General features: G+C 40.2%; 1 protein-coding gene across 1 annotated transcript in view, besides 1 other annotated feature; it reads left to right on the forward strand.

Annotated features, from left to right (window-relative positions):
• The window catches only part of TTLL5 (tubulin tyrosine ligase like 5), a 293,834-nt gene that overhangs the window by 140,222 nt on the left and 131,724 nt on the right, over window positions 1-21,888 (forward strand). The window contains exon 28 of the mRNA NM_015072.5: window positions 18,540-18,694. Coding sequence (NP_055887.3) covers window positions 18,540-18,694 — 155 coding nt within the window. The remainder of the gene's footprint in view (window positions 1-18,539; window positions 18,695-21,888) is intronic.
• Window positions 10,729-11,234: an enhancer, noted in NCBI's record as "H3K4me1 hESC enhancer chr14:76278539-76279044 (GRCh37/hg19 assembly coordinates)". NCBI's record gives its function as "activates a minimal SCP1, AML or CMV promoter by ChIP-STARR-seq in primed H9 embryonic stem cells {active_cell/tissue: H9 hESC(primed)}" and the evidence as "EXISTENCE:reporter gene assay evidence [ECO:0000049][PMID:30033119]".

The following is a 21,888-nucleotide window of genomic DNA, read 5'->3' on the forward strand; positions in this document are numbered from 1 at the left end:
GACAATCCAGTTATACTCTTAGTTACTTTAAAATGTACGATAAATTATTGTTGACTGTAGTCACCCTGTTGTGCTATCAAATACTAGATCTTATTCATGCTAACTATATTTTTGTACCCATTAACCATCCCTACTTCCCCCCACCCTCTGTATTTTGTGTTGCAAAGCTCAATTATAGGTTATTCAACCCTTTCCCTTCAGAGAAAGTGATTCCTTAATTTGGAATTTGGAAAATTCTGTCATTGATTATTCTTTTTCTGGTAAATAACTAATAACATGTTATAATGGTTTAGTATAGATTCTGGTATATTTGTTTACTAACAGTTTCCCTTTTTCTCTAGTTATATTTAAAAAGAAAGTTGCTTTAGTTTCTTACTCACTGAGTCAAGTGATACAATGTCTGTAGCTTTCTAGAAAGAGGTAGATTTCCAGTCAGAAAGTGGTGAGAGTTCTGCTCTTCTCTCTGGAGTTAGGGCCTGAAAACTTAAACTTAGCTATTATCAGAAACAAGTTTGTGTCCAGTAATCACTTTAAATGTTTTTTGTTTCCTCTTACCTGTTTTCATATTCTCGATTCTTATTTTCTGTTTGTGCTTTCTTTTTTTTGTTTTCCCTTTTCTAATAGGTTTAATTAATATTTTCTCCCCTTTTAAAAATAAGATTTATTCTGGATATGTTTATTCATTCTATTGTTTTCTAATTCATTATTTTCTTGCCTTATCTTTACTAATTCCTTCTTTCTGCTTTCCTTAACTTTGTTCCACTATTTCAATATTTCTCCCCACCTTGAGTTAAATGCTTCATTTATTTTCATTCACTCTTGGTATTTTTTTCACTATATAAAAGCTATGAATTTTTCTCTGAACATTGCTCTCATTATATTACATAAATTCTGATCTATCTTTAATTGGCTTTCTGGGCAAGGAGTTAAGAGATATTCTACTAAGCAAGCAAAGTTGAATTTAAATTACTTGTGCTATTTTGGAAGATGAGTATAGAATATTGAAGTTGTTGGGTATTTCTGAAAAATCATTATATTTGGCCTACAATTTCAACTGCTTAGCCTATTAAAACTTTTAGTGGCATTTCCTGCAAAACTTTTTATTTCATTGTGTTTGTGTGTGCATGTGTATATGTATGTATTTAAAAAACATTTTGCTAGGCTCTTAAGAGTCTTCCAGGCTTTGGTACTAAGCCATGGGGATGATATAACACATAGTCCTCAGCATGAAATAACTCACTCTCTTGTAATGGTGGCAGCTACATAAACAGATGGTAATAGTAACATGGAATATGCATGACAGAGATAGTCTGAGGGAATAACAACCACTAAAAGAGGCCCCGAACCCAGCTTGTGGGTGGGAATGGGGAAAAAGCTGAACTAGCCTTCTTGGAAGAGATTATATCTAAACTGAATCTTAAAGATAGGCAGGTAGATGGCAGAAGAAGGGGAGAAACAGTTTACAGAATAAAAACTCACTTGTGCATATGTAGCGAAACGAGTGACAGGCTAAGGATGTCACAGGATGGAGAGTCAGCAGGGACTAGCTAGGAATGAAGTTGGGCGAGAAGGCAAGGGCTGGTTCAGGGAGAGCTTTCATGCCGTGTGAAGGAACTTGTCCTTTGTCTCTTAGATGATGGAGATTCTCTGAGACACAATTGCTTTGCCTTTTAGCTGGACCACTCAGGTAGCTTGAAGAGGATGGATTTGGAGGATGAGGCAGTGCCACTCCTTTTTCCTCCATGCTCGCTGGTGAAGATAATGAGGAACAGTGAACTAGCTAAAGGTAAAGAAGCAAAGTATTCTGACAAGCCAAAAATTTGATGATAAAACATAGAGGGACTCAGAATTTACATTAGAGGTTAGATTCTTAAGAAATCTGTGTGGCAAAAACAGAAGCTCATATCCTGTGTAGTTACTACTACTCCTGCTGTGATTTAACTTTGTTTATAGCCTAAAACACATAAAAATATCAAACTTTCCCTGCCATGTGAGCAGCGGCCACTTCAAAAAATCTGTGCAAGCACGTGTATACTTGAAATATAAAGAGATAAATGTTCTCAACTACCACCATTCAACAAATAACTTAGAAATCTGAGCAGAGAGCAGGTCAAATTTAATTCTTTCCCTTGGCCCAAGAGAGGCTGGTTGTCTTTTGGAGATGAGATTTTTTGGAAATCTATGTGTATGTCCCTGAAAGCAGGGTTTTCTAGAAACATCTTGCACCTGGGCTGGGGGCAGGAGAAGTGTCGTGGTGGCCAATAGGGTACTGAGCTTCCGTGTGAAGTCTCACTATCTCTGCCTGACTCCATGCTGGAAGGGAGTGTAGTGCTCTGAAGAGATGTAGCCCTTTGTGGTTATTGCCATTAGTGAACAGAAGAATGTGGTGAATTAGCCCAGCTTTGTGGTGAGAAGTGGGAGGCAGGGAATCAGAGGGAGCGCTGGCCCTCTCCGTGCAGGCAAGCCTGAGACTGCAGGACCCAGCTATCATTAGGAGCAACTCCAGCTCTTCCAGCCTGGGAGTTTAATCAAAGGGATAACAGCAGACCACCCAGGCGGGGGCTCCAGTGTGAACGAATGTGCTGTGTCAGTCTCTGCTCCCCAACCAGCCAGTGCCCGGGATGTGGCCAGGCCTCCTGGAAATGTGCTGACAGATACAGAGAGGGGAGGAGATACTTTTTGCTCTTCACATTTTTCATTTAGATGGAGAGTGGGAAAAAAAAAATCCATTCTATTTCTTTCATTTTTCTTGCTCCTTACCCTGAGACTTCCCTGCCTGGTCCTAGAGAAAGATAGATGCGGAGGTACATAAAGCTTGATTCACAGCAGTTAAACTCTCTCACTCTCTCTATACAAAGGAATTCTTTATCATTTCTTCTGCTTCCGCAGCTAACACCGTAAGGGTCCACAGTGGACCCTGAGTGAATCTCAATTTCAGAAATTCCAAATGAAGAGAGACGGAGCTAAATCTTTGAAATGGTTACAGATGTTCTCTAGGATTGAGGCAGATGGCGCCCAGTTTATCACAAGCTTCAGCAATTGGCACTGGAAACTCTTTCTGCCTCCTTAGTTTATCTGGACACATTTGAACTTAGGTACATTTGTGCTCAGATTTTGTGGCCGTTTGTTAACCCTAGTTCCTTTAGTTTCATATTCTTTCTTAGTAGAAAAAGTTGTTGTTCTTTTTACCATATACATTATTCTTTCCCATTTCTAGAAGCAGGAAAGGGTAAATAGAAAAAGGCATAAGCTCTTGAGTCAGCAAGACCTTGGACAAGTTGTTTAACCTCCCTGTGCCTTGATTTCCTCATCTGTAAAATGGGGTAGTTTTGGTATCAAGACCAATTCTTCTCTTGGCTACTTGTGCCTCTCTGTTCCAGGACCTGGCTCCAGTTGATCTGATCTAATTTCCTAGCTTTTCTAGGTCTTGAGGCTTGAAGCTCTCATTTTCTTTAGTTCCTGGCCTACTGCATGGTCTCTTGTTTTAAAATAGCCTTTGTTTTACTCTGCCACCCCTTTAAACTCATCTTACTTGTACTGCCAAACTTCTTTTAAAATAACACACCCTTGTTGGCTCTAGTCTCCCTTCTGCCCCTCCACCCCTACACACTTGCTCTTGCAGTCTGACTTCATCTCTTACATTTGTCCATCTCTCTCTCAAAGGCCACTCATGACCTCAGAATTGCCAACTTCAGTCACTATTTTTAATCTTCTTCCTTTAGCATGTGGCACTATTATCAACGGCTTCTTAGGTGAAAATTTCCCTTAGCTTTTCTAACCCTTCAGTAATTCCTCTGAGAAATCATTGCTTCCTCCTGCTCTCCCTGAAAACTAGATTCCATTTTCAACATGTTTTTCAGAGCCACTGGCATATAGATCTTATGTGTATAAAGTTGATCATAGCAGAGTGGCTCTGGTTGAAGAAGGTGGAGTGGCCCCTGGGCATCTGCTTCTCCCTGGTCTTTTGGGATCCTCCAGCATATCTCTGAATTCTAGGCTGTAATCCTCAGAACTTCTTTTTCCTCTCCATACTTTCCCCTGGGATAAAGTTCCTTTTCCTGTGATTTCATCCTGGTACTTCTCTATGGATTTCTCCCAAGTATATATCTTTAGTTTGAGCCTTTGCTGAGAGTCAGGTCCACATTTCCACCTGTGAGACATTTCTACCTAACTATATTGCAGAACATTCAAAATACTTGATGTATTTTGAACATATTTTGAAAATACTCAGAAAAGTCTTAAACATATTTAAAACTTATTTGCCTCTTTTTGTTCTTCTCTATATTAGTGACATTGCAATTCTTGGAATTCTAGAATCCCAGGGAATTTAGGAATGGAGCCATTGGTTTATCAGTGCCTCTCTTCACTTCCTCATTCTATGTCCAGGCAGTTGTCAAGATTCTACAGTGTCTCTGATACCTATCCTGTTTTTCACTTTTCCATCTACTGTCCTGCTTAAGGCCTTTATTATCTCTTGGATGGAGAGCTGCAATTACCTTTTCACTGGTTTCTTGGCCAGTCTCTTCCTGTTCACCCTAGTCTTTGCTTTGCTCTGAAAGATTCTTTTTTTTTTTTTTTTGAGATGCAGTCTCACTCTGTTGCTCAGACTGGAGTGCAGTGGTGCGCGATCTCAGCTCACTACAATCTCTGCCTCCCAGGTTCAAGTGATTCTCCTGCCTCAGCCTCCCAAGTAGCTGGGATTACAGATGCCTGCCGCCATGCCGGGCTAATTTTTGTATTTTTAGTAGAGATGGGGTTTCACCATCTTGGCCAGAGTGGTTTCAAACTCCTGACCTCAAGTGATCTGTCCGCTTCAGCCTTTCAAAGTGCTGGGAATTCAGGTGTGAGCCACTGTGCCCGGCCATAATGGATCCTTTCCTAAATCACAAGTCTCATCATGGTACTCTTCTGCTTAAGAATCTCGAGGGCCTTCTGTTGTCTATAATGGGAAGCCCAGGCTGTTAAATGTGATTCAAAGCCTTTATTTAGAATCTGGCTCCAGGCTACTTTTCCAGCCTGTCTCCCTACTATCACACATGTTTTTGTGCAGCTCAACTAGAATTTCTGTTAGTCTCCATGCCTTATGCTATCTTCTCATGGAAAATGTTCCCCAGTTGCCATGTCTAATCTGGGCATCTGTCCAGGCTCAGTGTAGATGCCACTTCACTCATATGCATACTCTTTCACTCATCACACTAGGTATGTCAAGATAGCTCTCTCTTTTAACAGACAGTGAACTCCTTGAGGGCAGTGTCCTTTGCTGCCTCAGCACCTGACTCATTGGTAGTACTCAAAAAATGTGCTGATTCGACTGGACTACAAGGTAATTCATTGAGAATTGGATCATGTCCATTTTTTTCACCAGTTTTTTCCCAGCCTGCTAGATATTAATAGTATGCACTCAGTACGTATTTTTTGAATAAATAAGTAAATGAAGAACCCTCTGCTGCCTTAGCCAGAAGTCATCTTTCTATTCTGTGTGCTCCTTCATTCCTTCATTACTTTTTATAACAGATCTATTATAATTATTTTGCATCTTTTCTTTCCTGTTTTGCACTAAACTACATGATGCAGTTCTTTCTAACTCATCACCTAGCGCAAGGCCTTTCACTTGGCAGTCATCACATGCTTGCTAAATTGAAAAGAATTTCTTTTTTACATTTTGTAGGTTTTTATATTTTCTTTAAAAACGATTGATGGCTGGGTGCAGTGGCGCACTCCTATAATCCCAGCACTTTGGGAGGCCGAGGTGGGTGGATCGCTTGAGCTCGGGAGTTCTAGGCCAGCCTGGGGAACATGGCAAAACCCCAACTCCACAAAAAAGACAAAAATTAGCCAGGTGCGGTGGCACGTGCCTGTAGTCCCAGCTACTCTGGAGGCTGAGGTGGGAGGATCGATTGAGCCCAAGAGCTGCAGTGTGCCATAACTGCACCACTGCACTCCAACCTCGGCTACAAAGTAAGAAAGACCCTGTGTCAAAATTTTTTCATTGATAACACCATACCTGCCCTTCATAATTAAGCAGTTGACATTAATCAGATGCTTACTTTGTACTAGGCACTGTGCCAAGGACTTTATATGCATTATCTCTTTAACCCTAATGAGGTGTAGGTACTTACTTTTTGCCAATTAAGATGAAGAAATAGAAGCTGGTAGGATAAGTGACTCTGCTAATGTCACACAGATGGCAAGTTACTGTGCTAAGACTCAAACTCAGCTCTGTCTGACTCTGTGCTCTTTACCTCAGTGTTTTTCTGTCTCTTTCGGTGTGAATAAGGACTCAAACCTCTCATTAGACGAAAGTGACCGAACTTCACCCTGTGAGCTTGTTGTTCCATGATGTTGCTACAGAGTTGTAGCCAAGCCTATACTTGTGCCTGCTCAGAGAAACAAGGAGTTGAACTTTGTTTTCTTGATTTGAAATGCTTCTCTAGTTCTTGAAGCAGCTTGCAAAACATGTGGCTCTGTTGAGAATTATCAGTTATTTGTTGGGCAAACTCCTCATCAGATTATTTTATAGTATAGTCAACTGATTCTTCGACCAGACAAAACTCAGCCTTGTTAATCACTAGAGATGCAATAAGAATAGATCTTATGATGGCAGCAGCAACTCCCCCTGTCAACACACAAAATCTACATGTATAAATTGGAAACCCTACGAAGAGATTTGCCCATTTTGTCAGGTTTCCCAGGAATGTCTCTGGCAAATCTTGATCTGGAACTCTGTCTGGATTTTGGAACACTAAATGTCTATATATATACGTATATTATGAAAATGATGGAGCTCAGCAGAAAGAGAAGATATGCCAAGAGAATTTAGTGCTGAGGTATTGGAACTGCAGAGATTCCCTGCTTTTCCTGACCCCCTTTAAAATATAATTAACATTTAACCCTTCTCTCCTGGTGATTGGAGTGTGAATTTCTTGAGGTTTATTTTATCAGCATCCAGGAATTGAAGAAGGAATTGAATTGTGGCTAGTGATTTAATAAATGCTCGTGAAGTGCTTTTGGAGGACTGTTCAAAATGTAACTGTTTAAGATAGTTCTTTTCATTTTTCTGATTGAATATATTCTCTAATATTTCTCCATTGGTGAAAATCTTGTAATTGGTGCAGATCTGGCACTTTTGGTTTTCCTCTTCTTTTACCTTGAGTGAAACAGATCTTGGTCCACTGATATTTCCTATTCAAGGATTACCTTTTGCTCTAGCAAAACAGGTGAAAACAGGAACAGATCCTGTTCCAGATCATTCAGAGCCCCATGGCTGCAGGAATCAAAGCTATGGCATGTTCAATTGATCCAGTCATATTCTTTTTTTCTTATTTTTTAAAATTTTTATATAGAGGTGAGGTCTCACTGTGTTGCCCAGACTGATCTCGAACTCCTGGGCTCAAGTGATCCTCCTGCCTTGGCCTCCCAAAGTGCTGGATTATAGGTGTGTGCCACCATGCCCAGCTGATCCTGTCAGATTTTGATATAGCTATACATATCAGGATATATATAAGGAATATATATATATATATTCTTTATATATGAACACCACAGAGAACATTATTTTCAAATGACATTGAGGTAGTTTTGAGGATAATATGAATGCACATTTAGACAAATTTATCCTTTTATCAGTTGAAGTGATTCTTAACCTTTTTGGATTCAGAAGTCTCTTGGAGAATCTAATTAAAGCTTTATTCCTCCTCCTGAAAAAATATACACTCAAACTTATAAATTTGCATTAATTTCAAAGGGTTCAAATACCTTCACCCTCAATCAGGCTCTGTCTTGATGCTCCATGGACTTATGGTCTCTAAGTTAAGATCCCCTGAAAGTGTTTAGGTAGCATATAACCATTAATATCAATAATTTGGCCCAAACTCCAAATCTATGAGTATCTTTGTTTTATACATTCTTTATATATTTCAGTGATAGCCCCACATTAGGCTGTAATCTCCATGAAGGCAAGGATTTGGGGGTTATTCATATATCACAGTGTTACATATTTTGGGGGGTACATATGATGTTTAGATACATCTATACAATGTGTTATGATCAAGTCAGAGTAATTGGGATATCCGTTGCTTCAAAGATTTATCTTTTCTTTGTGTTGGGAACATTAACAAGTCTTCCCTTGTGACTATTTTGAGATATACAATAAATTGTTAACTGCAATTTTCCTACTATACTTTCGAATACTAGAACTTATTCATTTTATCTAACTGTATTTTTGTACTCATGAATCAATATCTCTTCTCCTTCCCCTTTTTCCCTTCTCAGCTCTGGTAACCATCATTCTATTCTCTATCTCCATGAAATCCACTCTTTTAGTTCCCAGATATGAGTGAGAACATGCAATTTTTGTGTTTCTGTTCTTCACTTATTACATTTAACATAATGACCTCCAGTTCCATCTATGTTCTGCAAATGACAGGATTTCATTCTTTTTGTGGCCGAACTATATTCCTCTATGTATATATGTCACATTTTTTTTAATCCATTCATCCGTTGATGGACACTTAGGTTGATACCCAGCAGTGGGATTGCTAGATCATATGGTTGTTGTATTTTTAGCTTTTTGAGGAACCTGTATACTGTTTTCCATATTGACTGTGCTACTTGACTGTTTTTTGTCATTGTTTTATCCTTAATGCTCAAAAGAATGGCAAGCCCAGAGTAGGTGCCTGAGAAATATTAGTTTGAATTAGTGAACTAATCTTAGGAAACAGCATTCCTAGACCTTCTCAGACAAGAATTATCTAAAATTTTTCTGGACCTGCTACAATGAGGAAATTGAGCTATGGCAAGATTATAAACTGCATTGGGAATGCTTTGCTACCAGTTACTCCCATGTTAAGCTCTTATTAACTAAATCATCTTCTCTCTCTCTCTCTCTCTGTTTTTCTTTTTGAGACAGGATCTTGCTCTGTCACCCAGGCTAGAGTGCCACCCAGGCTGGAGTACAGTGGTGTGATTATGGTTCACTGCAGCCTTGAATTCCCAGGCTCAAGTGATCCTCCTGCCTCAGCCTCCCAAGTAGCTAGGACTACAGGCATGCACCACCATGCCTAATTTTTTAAATTATATTTTGTAGAGATGGGGTCTCTTATGTTGCCCAGGTTGGTCTTGAATTTTTGGCCTCAAGTGACCCTCCTGCCTCAGCCCCTCAAAGCACTGTGATTACACACATGAGCTACTGTGCCTGACCCTAAATCTTTAATGCTTAATTTTCTTCTCCATTTCGATAAATAAGATGCATGAAATTTGCAGACATCCTTAGTGAACCTGAGATTAGTTTGAGTCCATTGCAAATGGTTTCTTAGGCCTTTGCAGTTTCAGGGGCATGAAGAAACAAATATACACATTGTGTGCACAAGGCACAACATCTGTATGTCAAAGCTGTTATTTCATCCATTTAAGATCAAGCAAAAATCCTCTCTAAAATTATTCAGGGCACAGCAAGAGCAACACATCTCTCAACTCTAGTCACTGATCATTTTATTTCCCTGAATTCTAAAGCAGTCCCTCCCTTGTGGCCCAGGCAAAAAGAGGTGATTTGGGACTCCTAATTTCCTTGATAGCCTTGCAGAGACATTAACCACTTTTCTACTCAACTGGTGAAACTAGCTGCTAACTGGAGGTAGGGGGTGGGAGGGAGAAATAGAGGGGGTGGGGAAAGAGAGGGAATGAAAGAAAGAGTGTGTGTGTGTGTGTGTGTGTGTGTGTGTGTATGTGTGTGTGTGTGTTTGGGAGTAGAAGGGTCTGCAACCAAGGTTCTCATATAGCATGGTTCTGTCAGAACCTGTGAGCAGGCTTACTGTTGTCTACTAGATCAAGGACAGAATCATTAGTCTGACATTCAAGGGCCTCCCCAAGCTGTTTATCTGTCTGTCCCTATCTTCTATGACGCGAAGCTTTTGCTGAATTAGACTACTTTCTGTTTCTCAGATGTTCTCCCTGCTTGTCTGACGATTTTTCTTTCCTCCTACCTATTATTTTAGGCCCAGCCCAGATGCCATTTTTTAATTTCTTTAGCTGTTCTTTTATGGCACTTACTGCATTCTGGAGGTCTTAAATACTGCTTTTTGTCTTACAATCTTGTCTGGCCTAGTAATTATAAATTCCAACATGGCTTGAGGGCAGGGAAGGGCCACGTTTTTATCTGCACATGCGTTAGCGCTTTCCTCAAGGCTTTACCTGTGATAGGCAATACAGCACTTACTATCTTTGAGGTGTGGACTTCTCTTAAGCATTCGGGACTGCAGCATTTTTGAGAGCATGCAGCATTGAAATAGCTAGGCTTGTCTTCAAACCCTCTTCACATACCAAAAGGTTATGTATCTGGGTGGATGGTGGGTATCTTCTAAGAATCAACAGGGAAGCTCCATCATATTTTAATTATAGTGCTGGCAGCAGTACGACTTTTAACAAACAGCAGTAACAAGAAGTAACACTTGGGCGGGCCAGCCACCGGAAATTGGCCTCTTTCTCTGGGTTTCTCCTACCCCCTTTTCAATCCATCACCTGGATTTATTCCTGCTATAATTTAAACACCTGTCTAGATGGTATGCATGCAATGTGTCCCTACCCCACACATTCAGATATTTGCTCACCTGCCTTATTCGGAAGATTGGCTCTAAAATAAACAGTGATTTGGTACTAAAGGAAAAACGCACTGAGGTCACCGTGGCAATGGACATGAGGCAGAGAATGGGAGTGGAACATCTGGATAAGCTGCTCCAGGAGAGTGGGAGCAGAGGAAGAGGAAAAGCAGGAGCAGGGGGAGGAGGAGGAGAGCAAGGGGTGAAACATCTGCCAAGCAGGCCCCAAAGCTTAGGTGGAGGTAGGATCTTGTGACCAGATTTCCCACAGGCAGTTACTCACTTAGCAGCAGCCAGCTAGAGGGAGGCAGGGGCAGAGACATGTGGAACAAGTTGACTGTTTTTAGGCTTAAATTTCTTGTTTTTTTGTTTTTTCGTTGTTACCACTATTTCTCAGGGCAGCATAGCAAGTAATCTTGGAATTTTCTGAAGTTTGTCCTAAGCTGTTTTGTCCACTTTTGCATTCTTGGCATATTTAATGATTACTCTTTTTAATGTTTGAGCATCTGAACAACATTGAGAAATAGTAAAACCTTAAAGTTGCTAATGAAACTATTTTCCCTTCTCATTCCCCTTTGTTGTTTTGTAACTTGTCTTCACCCCATCAAAGGCATTTCTGCTGTTTTTTGGAAAATCCCCTGCCCGTGAGCTTTGTGGAGGAGAGGAAGCATTGAATGGTTCCTTTTACCTGTTCTCTCGTTTCCTTAGCTACCATTCCTGGTAACAAGTGCTTCTCAAACTCTGCAATGCAAGTAAGTTTCCCGTGGATCTTGAAAATGCAAATTTTGGTTCAGTGCAGCTGGGGCTGGGGCTGGGGCTGGGGCTGTGGCTGGGCCAAGATTCTGCATTTTTAATATGCTCCCAGTAATGCAGGTGCTCTTGGTCCAGAGACCAAATTCTAAGTCGCAAGGCTCAGTGGTACAAGGCAGTGAGATAACACAGTGATTAAAACAACAAGATTGGGAGAATTTTCATCAGGCAGACCAGGAATTGAATCCAGGGGCTGACACATAATAATTATTTGTTCTTGAGCAAGTTATTTTATCTCTCAACCTCAGTTTCCCCATCTACCTGTCTTGAAGACTAAGTAGGTTAATATACATAAAATATGCTTAGCATGTTGCCTGGAACAAGCTGTGTGTGTGTGTGTGTGTGTGTGTGTGTGTTTCAGACAGGGTCTTGCTCTATTATCCAGGCACTGTGTGTGTGTTTGTGTGTGTGTGTGTGTGTGTGTGTGTGTGTGTGTGTGTGTGTGTGTTTGAGACAGCGTCTTGCTCTATTATCCAGGCTGGAGTGCAGTGGTGTGATCTCAGCTCACTGCAGTCTCAACCTCCTGCGCTCAAGCAATCCTTCCCACCTCAGCCTCCCTAGTAGCTGGGACTAGAAGCATGCACCACCACACTCAGCTAATTTTTATATTTTTAGTGGAGAAGGGGTTTCACCATGTTGCCCAGACTGGTCTCGAACTCCTGGGCTCCAACGATCCACATGCTTTGGCCTCCCAAAGTGCTGGTATTACAGGTGTGAGCCACCGTGCCTGGCCCAAACTGTTTTTGAATTTAGCCGTCATTAGTATTAATATAGTTTTGTTGTTATTATTACTGTAGTGGATCTAAAACGTAGCATATTAAAATTGATTATAGTAGAACGTTTTAAAGGTCCAAACACAGACTTATAAGCTTCTTATGTGTATATACTTGTGTTTTTCACTTAAAGATGTTGATTAGCTTTACCAGTAGGGCATGTTCTTTGAGTCATGGTTTCAATTAAAAAAAAAAAAAAAAGCTATAGGTTTTCAACTATCTCCTGTCTGTTTTCCAGACCCCTTTGTGACCAATAACATGAATTCGTAGGTTGGCAAGCCTAGATTTAATAGCACAGACACTAGTTATTAGCCCAGAGAAGCCAACTGGCCCAATGGCTATGACCTCCACTTTAATATCCTAATATAGGTTGAGTGTCCCTAATTTAAAAATCCAAAATCCAAACTGCTCTAAAATTTGAAACTTTTTGAGCCACCTACATGATATTTCAAGTTTTCAGATTTGGGATGCTCAATTGGTATAATGCAAATATTCCAAAATACAAAAAAATCTGAAATGCAAAACACTTTTGGTCCCAAGTATTTCTGTTAAGGGACAGTTAACCTGTACTACTAACAAAAATGGTGAGCCAGTGATTGATTTTGTGAGTGGTGCTGTCTCTTCATGTACTGTAAGCCTGTTCTTTTAAAAAATTATTTAGCAATGAAATGTTGATCATCGTTGTATATCAGGTACCTGTAAGTGCTCTTTATCACTTTCTCTTCATTTGATCAGAGCTGGTTTTGTTATGTTATTTGGAGAAATGTAGATGGATAGAGAAGTGGATGTAGCCTGGTAACGTCTATAATCATCATCTTTCTGTCCTGTTAGGGAAGAAACCTTCAGGTATGAACCCTAATTGGCTTGTAGGGTTTATTAAGGTCTCATCCGATACTGGGAGATTTTCCCTGCCCTTAGGTCTTCTCTAGGCAGGACAAGGCAGTTCTAAAGCCAGAATTGATGCTTAGATTCGTTTTTGTTCAGTGACTCCTTCTGCCCATTCTGGAAAAAAGTGGGAAGCTGAAAAGAAAGACCAGAGGTTTTCTTACTTAATTTAATCTAGAGATAATTTGCTTGGTGCAAAATTTAGTCAGGTGTAAATCTGTATACGTAACATTTAGCCAGATCTGATTGAGAGTCTAGAGCTGTGCTGTGCAATAAGGTAACCACTAGCTACATCTGGCTTTTAAATTTTAAATTATATAAAGTTTAAAATCCAGTTCCTCAGTCATAGCAGGCATATTTCACATGCATAGTAGTCACATGTGGCTAGGGGTTACTGTATTGAACAGTGCACATTACAGAACATTTCCATTATCACAGATCATTCTAGAAGATAGAAAATGATTTATTTCACTTGTTTTTCTGATAGATCAGTGATGGCTACTTGGAGAAATGTGTAAAGAAGATTCTGAGACCATCTCCAAGTCAGCCCCGAGTTGCTTGATTATGGGTTAGCAGTATGAGTCCTAGGAAGAGACTGCTGGGTGAGGGATGTAGGGGTGTTAGCTCTGGCATATGTGCTGAGTGTCTTCTAGACAAAAAATCCACAAGTCTAAGAATAGAATATTTAATCTAGAGGGGCAGGTTATTATCATTTGGTAGGAACAGATTTTTTGTTTTCTTTTAGCAGGAATCCTTTAGAGAGAAAGGTGAGAAGCTTTTAAAGTTTTCTCATTCCTTGTATAGTCTCTCATTTAAGTAGCAGTCACTTTTGCTGTTTCTCAAATTAACAATGATACTTTGCTTTTGCATAAAACAAAATCACAGTGGCTGCCACTTCTTGGTTTATCCATCACATCAGGAATGGTTGTTATGTGAATAAACGTAACCCTCCAATAATCCAAAAGTAATTTCATGATCAAGTCACTTTTTACCTGCCAAGAAACAAAACTGGCCGAGGATGTTTTTCTTTGTTTTACTTCTTTAATGTCTTCTGATGAAAGATAACAAGTGGGAAGTAAAATCAAAGGGAAAGAAGGAAAAGCTGGTATAGTTTTGTCAATCTCTGTATAATCACTGTTTTAAGAATTTGAGGTCTGTATCTGATGATATTTTAAAAATCTCTAATAATTAAGGGTAACTAGGATTGTTTTCCTACTAGTTTCCAAACTAGAAAAGATTTTTAAAACTGGAGTACCAGTTCTGCAACTTTTATGTGACTTTGAGCAAATTGCTTATCATAACCTCTCTGAGCCTTAGTTTCTCCACTTGTGAAATGGTGTGGAACAGTATCTACCTCTGTGAATAATGGGTAAGGACTAAGTGAAATATAAAACCCAGAGTGCCTAACACCGCTACTGTAAGGACTCATTAAACCATATTATTTGGGAAAAGTAGACCACATGCGCTGGAAGGCGAACACTCTCTGTTCTGTCTTGGCCCTGCCACTTACAGGTGTGTGACTGTTGTCTAGTTGTTTACCCTCTTTTGACTTTGGCTTCCCCTTTTGTAAAATGGGTAACAGTAGAACCTGTTACAAAGGGATTGCTTGGGGTTAAATGAGATAATGCACTTCAAGATCATGCAAGAACCCAGCACTTTGGGAGGCCAAGGCGGGTAGACCACTTGAGGTCAGGGGTTACCAGCCTGGCCAACATGGTGAAATCCTGTCTCTACTAAAAATACAAAAATTAGCCTGGTGGCAGGTGCCTATAATTCCAGCTACTTGGGAGGCTGAGGCAGGAGAATCACTTGAACTCAGGAGGTAGATGTTGCAGTGAGCCAAGATTACGCCACTGCACTCCAACAGAGTGAGACTCTGTCTCCAAACAAGAAAATAAAACCATAATGCAAGATCATTGCACATAGTGAGTGTTCCATAAGTGGTAACTGTTAAGATGCATATGATGATGTTTAAATTAGGGGCAGTCTTGCCAAAGGATAGGTTTACTAAATCTTTTATCTCCTCTCCTTTCCATTCACTAATCTCCAGACGATATCATTTATACTAAACATGGTAAAGTGTGCACATTGTTTATTTATTGATATTCCCCTATAAATTATTAAGCCTCCTTTATTAAGTTCTTGGCACAACTAAAGCAGTAATTGGAGAAGCTGTTAGTTATCATAAAGACCTTTCTCACTGTACTTTTTCTGTAAGTTTCAAGATCATGTCTAATATAAAAGGTCTGATGGTCAAATCAGGGCAGGAAAGCAGAGGAGTCAGTGTGGGGCAGGAGTGAGTTCAGGAGTACAGGGAGTCTGGTTCATTGTCTGAAGGCCTGACCTACATTGCCCCTAGGATATAGGAAGAAGGACAAGGCATTTCAGAGAAACTAGTGGCCAGAGAAGTTACTACCATAATTTGCTACTATATCTTCCCTGTCTTATTTTTTTTTTTTTTTTTTTTTTTTGAGACAAGAGTCTCGCTCTGTCGCCAGGCTGGAGTGCAGTGCGCTATCTGAGCTCACTGCAGCCTCTGACTTCTGGGTTCAAGCAATTCTCCTGCCTCAGTTTCCTGAGTAGCTGGGACTACAGGCTCACACCACCACGCCCAGCTAATTTTTGTATTTTTAGTAGAGATGGGATTTCACCATGTTGGCCAGGATGGTCTCGATGTCTTGACCTCATGATCCACCCGCCTTGGCCTCCCAAAGTGCTGGGATTACAGGTGTGAGCCACCACGCCCAGCCTCTTCCCTGCCTTTTAGTTAGCATATGCCCTTCTTCTCCCCCTTGTAGAAGCAGTAGGGGACAGAAATGATAAGTCATATATGGCCGGTGAGTTTTTCTTCCAAAGACTGGTCCACACTAGAGGGTGCAGCCTCCACAGACACTGGGAATTGCTCCTGACCTATGGAAAACAACTTTCTTTCCAAGAAAATTATTTTTAGTCCTTTGGTGTAAAGACACAGTCCTGAGTTGTTTTCACTTACTGAATTCTATAACTAGGAATGAAACACTATACTCTTGCTAAAAATGACCTTTTTTCTTTCAGAATTTTTAGGGAAAAAAAATCATAATTCTCTCATTTGTAGTTTCAAAATTATTAGGCCCTTAGAACATTTTATAGCCAAACATTTGCCTTGGAATTAACATCTCCAGTCTGATGACTTTCACTACTGTTCTCTAGTGTCTCATGCTTAAAATCCTGCATTCAGCTTTGTGTCTTCTCTCTCTTCAACAGTCCCGGTGCATCTTACTTTGAAATGCTTCTCACAACCATTCTTTCTTTTCTTTTCTTTTCTTTTTTTTTTTTTTTTTTTTTTTTTGAGACGGAGTCTCACTCTGTCGCCCAGGCTGGAGTGCAGTAGTGAGATCTTGGCTCACTGCAAGCTCCACCTCCTGGGTTCACACCATTCTCCTGCCTCAGCCTCCCGAGTAGCTGGGACTACAGGTGCCCGCCACCACGCCCAGCTAATTTTTTTGTATTTTTAGTAGAGACGGGGTTTCACCATGTTAGCCAGGATGATCTCGATCTCCTGACCTTGTGATCCACCTGCCTCAGCCTCCCAAAGTGCTGCGATTATAGGCGTGAGCCACCGTGCCCGGCCCCATTCTTTCTTTTCTGATTCCACTACCACTGCCCAGGTTTTAAATACATCTGTATTTGCCATAACAACTTTAAAATAATTTTTTATTATAAAAGGTAATACATGCTCAGTTTATAAAATTTGGAGAATATAGATAAGGAAGAAAATAAGTTGTAATTCAGAAATAAATGCTACTTATAGTCTGGATTTTTACTTCTAGTCTTCAGGAATGTCTTTTCACTTGTGTTTGTGTGTGTATGTGTTTAAAGAAATTTGGATCTACTCTATACAGTTTCATATTGTGATTTTTGCTACCACGATTTTTTTTACTTGAGATATTAGCGTGTTCCTATATCATTATTTTTCTTTTCTTTTCTTTTTTTTTTTTTGAGATGGAGTCTCACTCTGTCACCCAGGCTTGAGTGCAGTGGCATGATCTCTTCTCACCGCAACCTCTGCCTCCCAGGTTCAAGCAATTCTCTTGCCTCAGCCTCCTGAGTAGCTGGGACTACAGGTGCCTGCCACCACGCCTGGCTAATTTTTTTTTTTTTTTTTTGTATTTTTAGTAGACATAGGGTTTCACCATGTTAGCCAGGCTGGTCTCGGTCTCCTAACCTCGTGATCCACCCGCCTCAGCCTCCCAAAGTGTTGGGGTTACAGGCGTGAGCCACCACGCCCGGACTATTTTTCAAAAAATGTTAATGCATACGTAATATTGTCTTACTTAGGGCAAAATTTATTTAACAATATTGTTAGCCATTTAGATCTCCTTTTTCAGTATTAAAAACAATGCTTGATTTTCAGTATTCACAGTATAATGTAGTGAGTAAGAAAATGGGCTTTGGCAGTTGAAAAACTATGGTTTGAATTCTTGTTCTGCCATTTATTTCTAGGCCTCAATTCAATCATAGGCCTCGGTTTCTTTCTTGTAAAATGAGTATTATGGTACTTACCAACAGACTTGTGGCAATTTAAATGAGATGTGTGCGACGTACTCATTTACACATAGCTTGGCACCTAGTGAGTTCTAATAAATATTGACTGCTATTATGATAGCCACCTGTCATTAATCATCTGCAATTGTTTTGTTGTATAGTTCCCAGAAGCTAGATTGTAGTATCAAAGTATACAAATATTGTAATATATTTTAATAAGGTATTGCCAGTTGATTTCTAGGAAGATTCTACCAATTTATAGTCACACAAGTAGTATAAGTACCTAATTTCACCCTTTGCCATTTGTGGATACTATCTTTAAATATTGTATACCAAAGTGATATGCAAAAATGATGTCTTGTAACTTGCATTTCTTTGTAATTTGCGTGTCTTTCTTATAATTTACATTTACCAGTAGAAATGATGACTAGTTTTACATGTTTAATTGGCTAATTGTATTCCTTCTTTGTACATTATTTATTGAAGTCCATGACTATTTTTCTCCTAACCGTCTTTTTTCTTTCTAAATCAGTGGATTCTTTGTGTATTATAATAATGTTATTTATAACTAAAATTTACTGAGCATTTAGAACATTCAGATGAGGTAACAAGGGCAGAAAGACTAGTTCGCCTCGTTTCTTTGAACATTGTCTACTCAGTAGATTCTTGCTGTTTTTGTTATCCGTCTTTGTTTTTCATAGACCCGGCACAGTCCAGTGCCCTGCACTTAGTAGGAGCAAAATAAATGCTTGTTAACTTACACTGACACTGACCACTCTCACTTCTGCTCTTTGTGCACAGGAGCCATTCCTTCCTGAGTGCCTTTGTCACAGCCACAGCTTCAGCTCAGAGGGGTCAGCATCTGTTGGCCTTGACTTGATTTTGCCTATATGTTGTTAATGATGCTTTTTAAAAACTCTGTAAAGTCAGGTTATTTCCCTCGCTTTATTTCTAGGTAACAAACCTGAATTTGGCAACTGGCATCATAAACAGAAGCAGTGCTTCAGCTCCCCCAACCCTCCGACCCATCATCAGTCCTAGTGGCCCGACATGGTCTACACAGTCAGACCCCCAAGCTCCCGAGAATCACTCCAGCTCTCCTGGAAGCAGGTATGTGAAGGGCCCTGCAACTAGCATTTGGGTTACTCAGGGATGGCCTGTGTCCCAAGCAAGCCATTCCCACCTTGAGTTCTGTATGGAGATAGCACTAAGGCATATGCCCTTTCTCCACCTGCCTCGATCCTCTGGCACCTGACTAAGAGAGCCTCATTTTATTTGTAAGACAGTTTTCAAGCATATCAAATGAAAAGGACATTTCTGAGATAGTTAAGAAAATCACCTTAGGGTAAAAGAGCAAGAATTTACACTATGTTTAAACCTTGCTTATAGTCATCATTTTTATGTGCCAACTTTTTGCACTTTGTCCTTGTCTCTTAGTTTTTTTTTTAATACCTTGTGTTGTTTATAGTTTTTTTTATACTACATTGTGTTTCAGTAACTGTAGACTCTGTTCTTTTGAAGGACATATTTGTTTCTTATTTTTTTATCTAGTTTCATATAACTGAACTCAAACAACCTCGCTGAACAATGCTCATTTGGGAAGTGGGAAGGAAATTTCCTTTATGTAGTTGAGAGATGTGGCTAAAGATAAAATCCACGTAGCTTCTGGCAATAATGTAAGCAGCTTCCAAATTAAAAAAGAAACCACTGTATTGAATTCTGGTCTTGCTGTGTGTTTTAATTACCCCTGTATTAAAAAAAAAAAAAAAAAGAAATGGATTCCCAGCACATCTTGCTTTAGTGCCTATTAAATATGGATTAAATTGCATCAGTCCCTGAGTCGAATGCGCTAGAGAGAAATGTGACTGTTACAGTGAAGTATTTTGACCAGCTGAGATATTGTTCCCTCCAACCAAAGAAGTTTTACCACAGGTGCCCGACCAAGCCCTCACGCCCCATGCCAGTACTTCCAGCCTCTGCCTTTTAGTATGCTGCTTTGCCCTGAGATTCAGAGGGGGTACTGAAGACTTGGACATGGAGGAAATACCTAGTTGTTGGTAAAGTATCTATTGGTGTTAGAATTATTACTTAAGGAACTAATTTGGGAAGCAGAAGCTCTGCCCAGGAAGCAGCATAGATATAAGCACATTACATCATCCTGCGGTACGGTGTCTTTCATACCGGTGATCATTGTGGTCGGGGCGAAAAGAATCATCTTAACTGAGAATTATAAAGAACCGAAGACCAAGACGCAGGACTTTTTAAAGCAGAGCATCCTCCACACAGTTCTCTCCCCAGGAGAAGTCTGCTGTAAAACATCAGTCATAAACAAGAAATTCTGTTTATACCATAGAGCTTTATTTTCCATAAAAAAATTTCCAGATATTCCATTTTCATTTTAAATTCAGAGCCTTGTTTTTATGGAAGACATTTTCACTGCAATTTTGGATATAATGTCTGTATGACAAGGCTACAGGCATTGCTCCTACTGTAAACAAAATGTTAAAACCACACATTTTGGAGAAATTGAGTTTTAGCACTTTTTATACTTGTAGATGGAATGAGGGAAAACATTTTTAATAACAATTGTGGCTGGGTTTAGAGCTTTCTTTTGGTAGCGCCTGTTAGTAGTGAGATGAAAGATGATGAGTTCGGTTAAGGATGTGCCAGGACCTAAGGTTCAGTACTGTGAGTGGCCTTCTCCCAGCCAGACTGCCCACGAGGCTGCGATAATGCTCATGGTGCATTACACGATTTACTTCTGACCCATTCCAGCCAAAAAGCAATCCCCACAAAGTCCCCTGGTCTTTTCCTTTTCTTTTTACCCACAGCAGCCTTCTCTTTACCTCCTCTTCAAACACAAGAGCCAGTTTTCAAGTCCCATTTCAGTTCAGGGTAGCCCTGGGACATTTTCCTCTACCCCCAGGTGACCTCTGGTTGCCAGCACTGCCTGCAACCTGAGCTTGAGAGTCCCAGTTCCACATGGAATTCCCAGAGGCACCCAACCTAAAGGAGCCCTGAGTGAATTCTCAGAGGTCTTTCCAGACTTGGCTGTGATATAGGCCGCAGCCAGACCTGCAGCATACAACCTGCACAGCCCAATGTCCTGGTTTCCATTTATACCTGGTAAGTCACTGTTTTGTGGATATTTAGTCTCTTGTTGTTCCTCCTTTAGTCGTAAGGATGACTAAGTTTAATGAATACAGGATTTGTAGCTTAGAGATCTGAGTTTTATTACTGGTTTGACATTAAGTGACCCTAAGCTATTCATTTAATCTTTTTATTGGGTAAGCATACTTACATATGAAGTGGCCTGTTTTGAGAGCTTTTAGATTGCCTTTAAAGCACTTTGATCTCCCTGGAAGTAGGTGCTAGGTAAATAAAAGTTACTCTCAATAGTTTTTCTACAGTAGCAACAGTGGATTCCAGTTTAGTTCTGATAATTCACTAAACTAGGGGCTGCCTTGTAAACTGTAATAAAATGTAAAGAGAATCCCATTGCTAGCTGTACTTTTCATCTCTGCATGTCAGAGAATTCACTGACTTGGTAGCCACAGGAATGAAAACTGGTGACTCACAAGAACTCTGCAAATGGTGTTATTTTTCATTTCCCTATGGTGTTGCTATTGTTCCCAATTTTATGGATCACACAAGTTTTCATCAAACGACCTTGTTCTCCCGCTGTTTTGACATCACCCCAAATGTAGCCTCAGGGTTGTCGTCTCCCATTGGGTCAGTGTAAGCTCAGCCCAGCGCCTCAAATCCCTTGGTTCCTTTGGTCTGTCTGGAGTCCTATTCAGGCTTTGTTGTGGGAGAAGAAGGCAAAGAGCCCACGACTTGCCCAGACAGTCTGAGGCCTGGCCATGTAGCTTGCAGTTCCCTAGACACTCTGGAGTTGGACTTGGCCAGCCATCCCTCTGTTGTTACTTTTCAGAGGTAATAAGTGAGATTAATTGCAGGCCATTCTCCGGAAGAGAAAGTAGTTAGAGCCAAATACAGTCACATGTTTAGAAGCCTGAGGTGTGCCTCCAAGCAAGGCCGACTTAGAATTATACAGTAGGGACTCCAGGATGCAGGTACCAAGTGTTTATGACCTCTCTCTTCCTTAAAGTGATGTTTTCAGTTTCTAGGTGCTGATACGTGGGTGTGTTAACTTTTCTTTAGCCAATGAGAAAGATTAGATTTTTCAAGCTGCCTTTTAATTATCCATTTTTGGGGTACATGGGAAGTCATTAGGAGCTGAAAGTTGATGTGCAGAGCCATCTCATCATTACTGCCAGCCTTCCATGGAATTGGACTGCATC

Source organism: Homo sapiens, chromosome 14, assembly GCF_000001405.40.
Source record: "Homo sapiens chromosome 14, GRCh38.p14 Primary Assembly".
Classification (NCBI taxonomy): domain Eukaryota; kingdom Metazoa; phylum Chordata; class Mammalia; order Primates; family Hominidae; genus Homo; species Homo sapiens.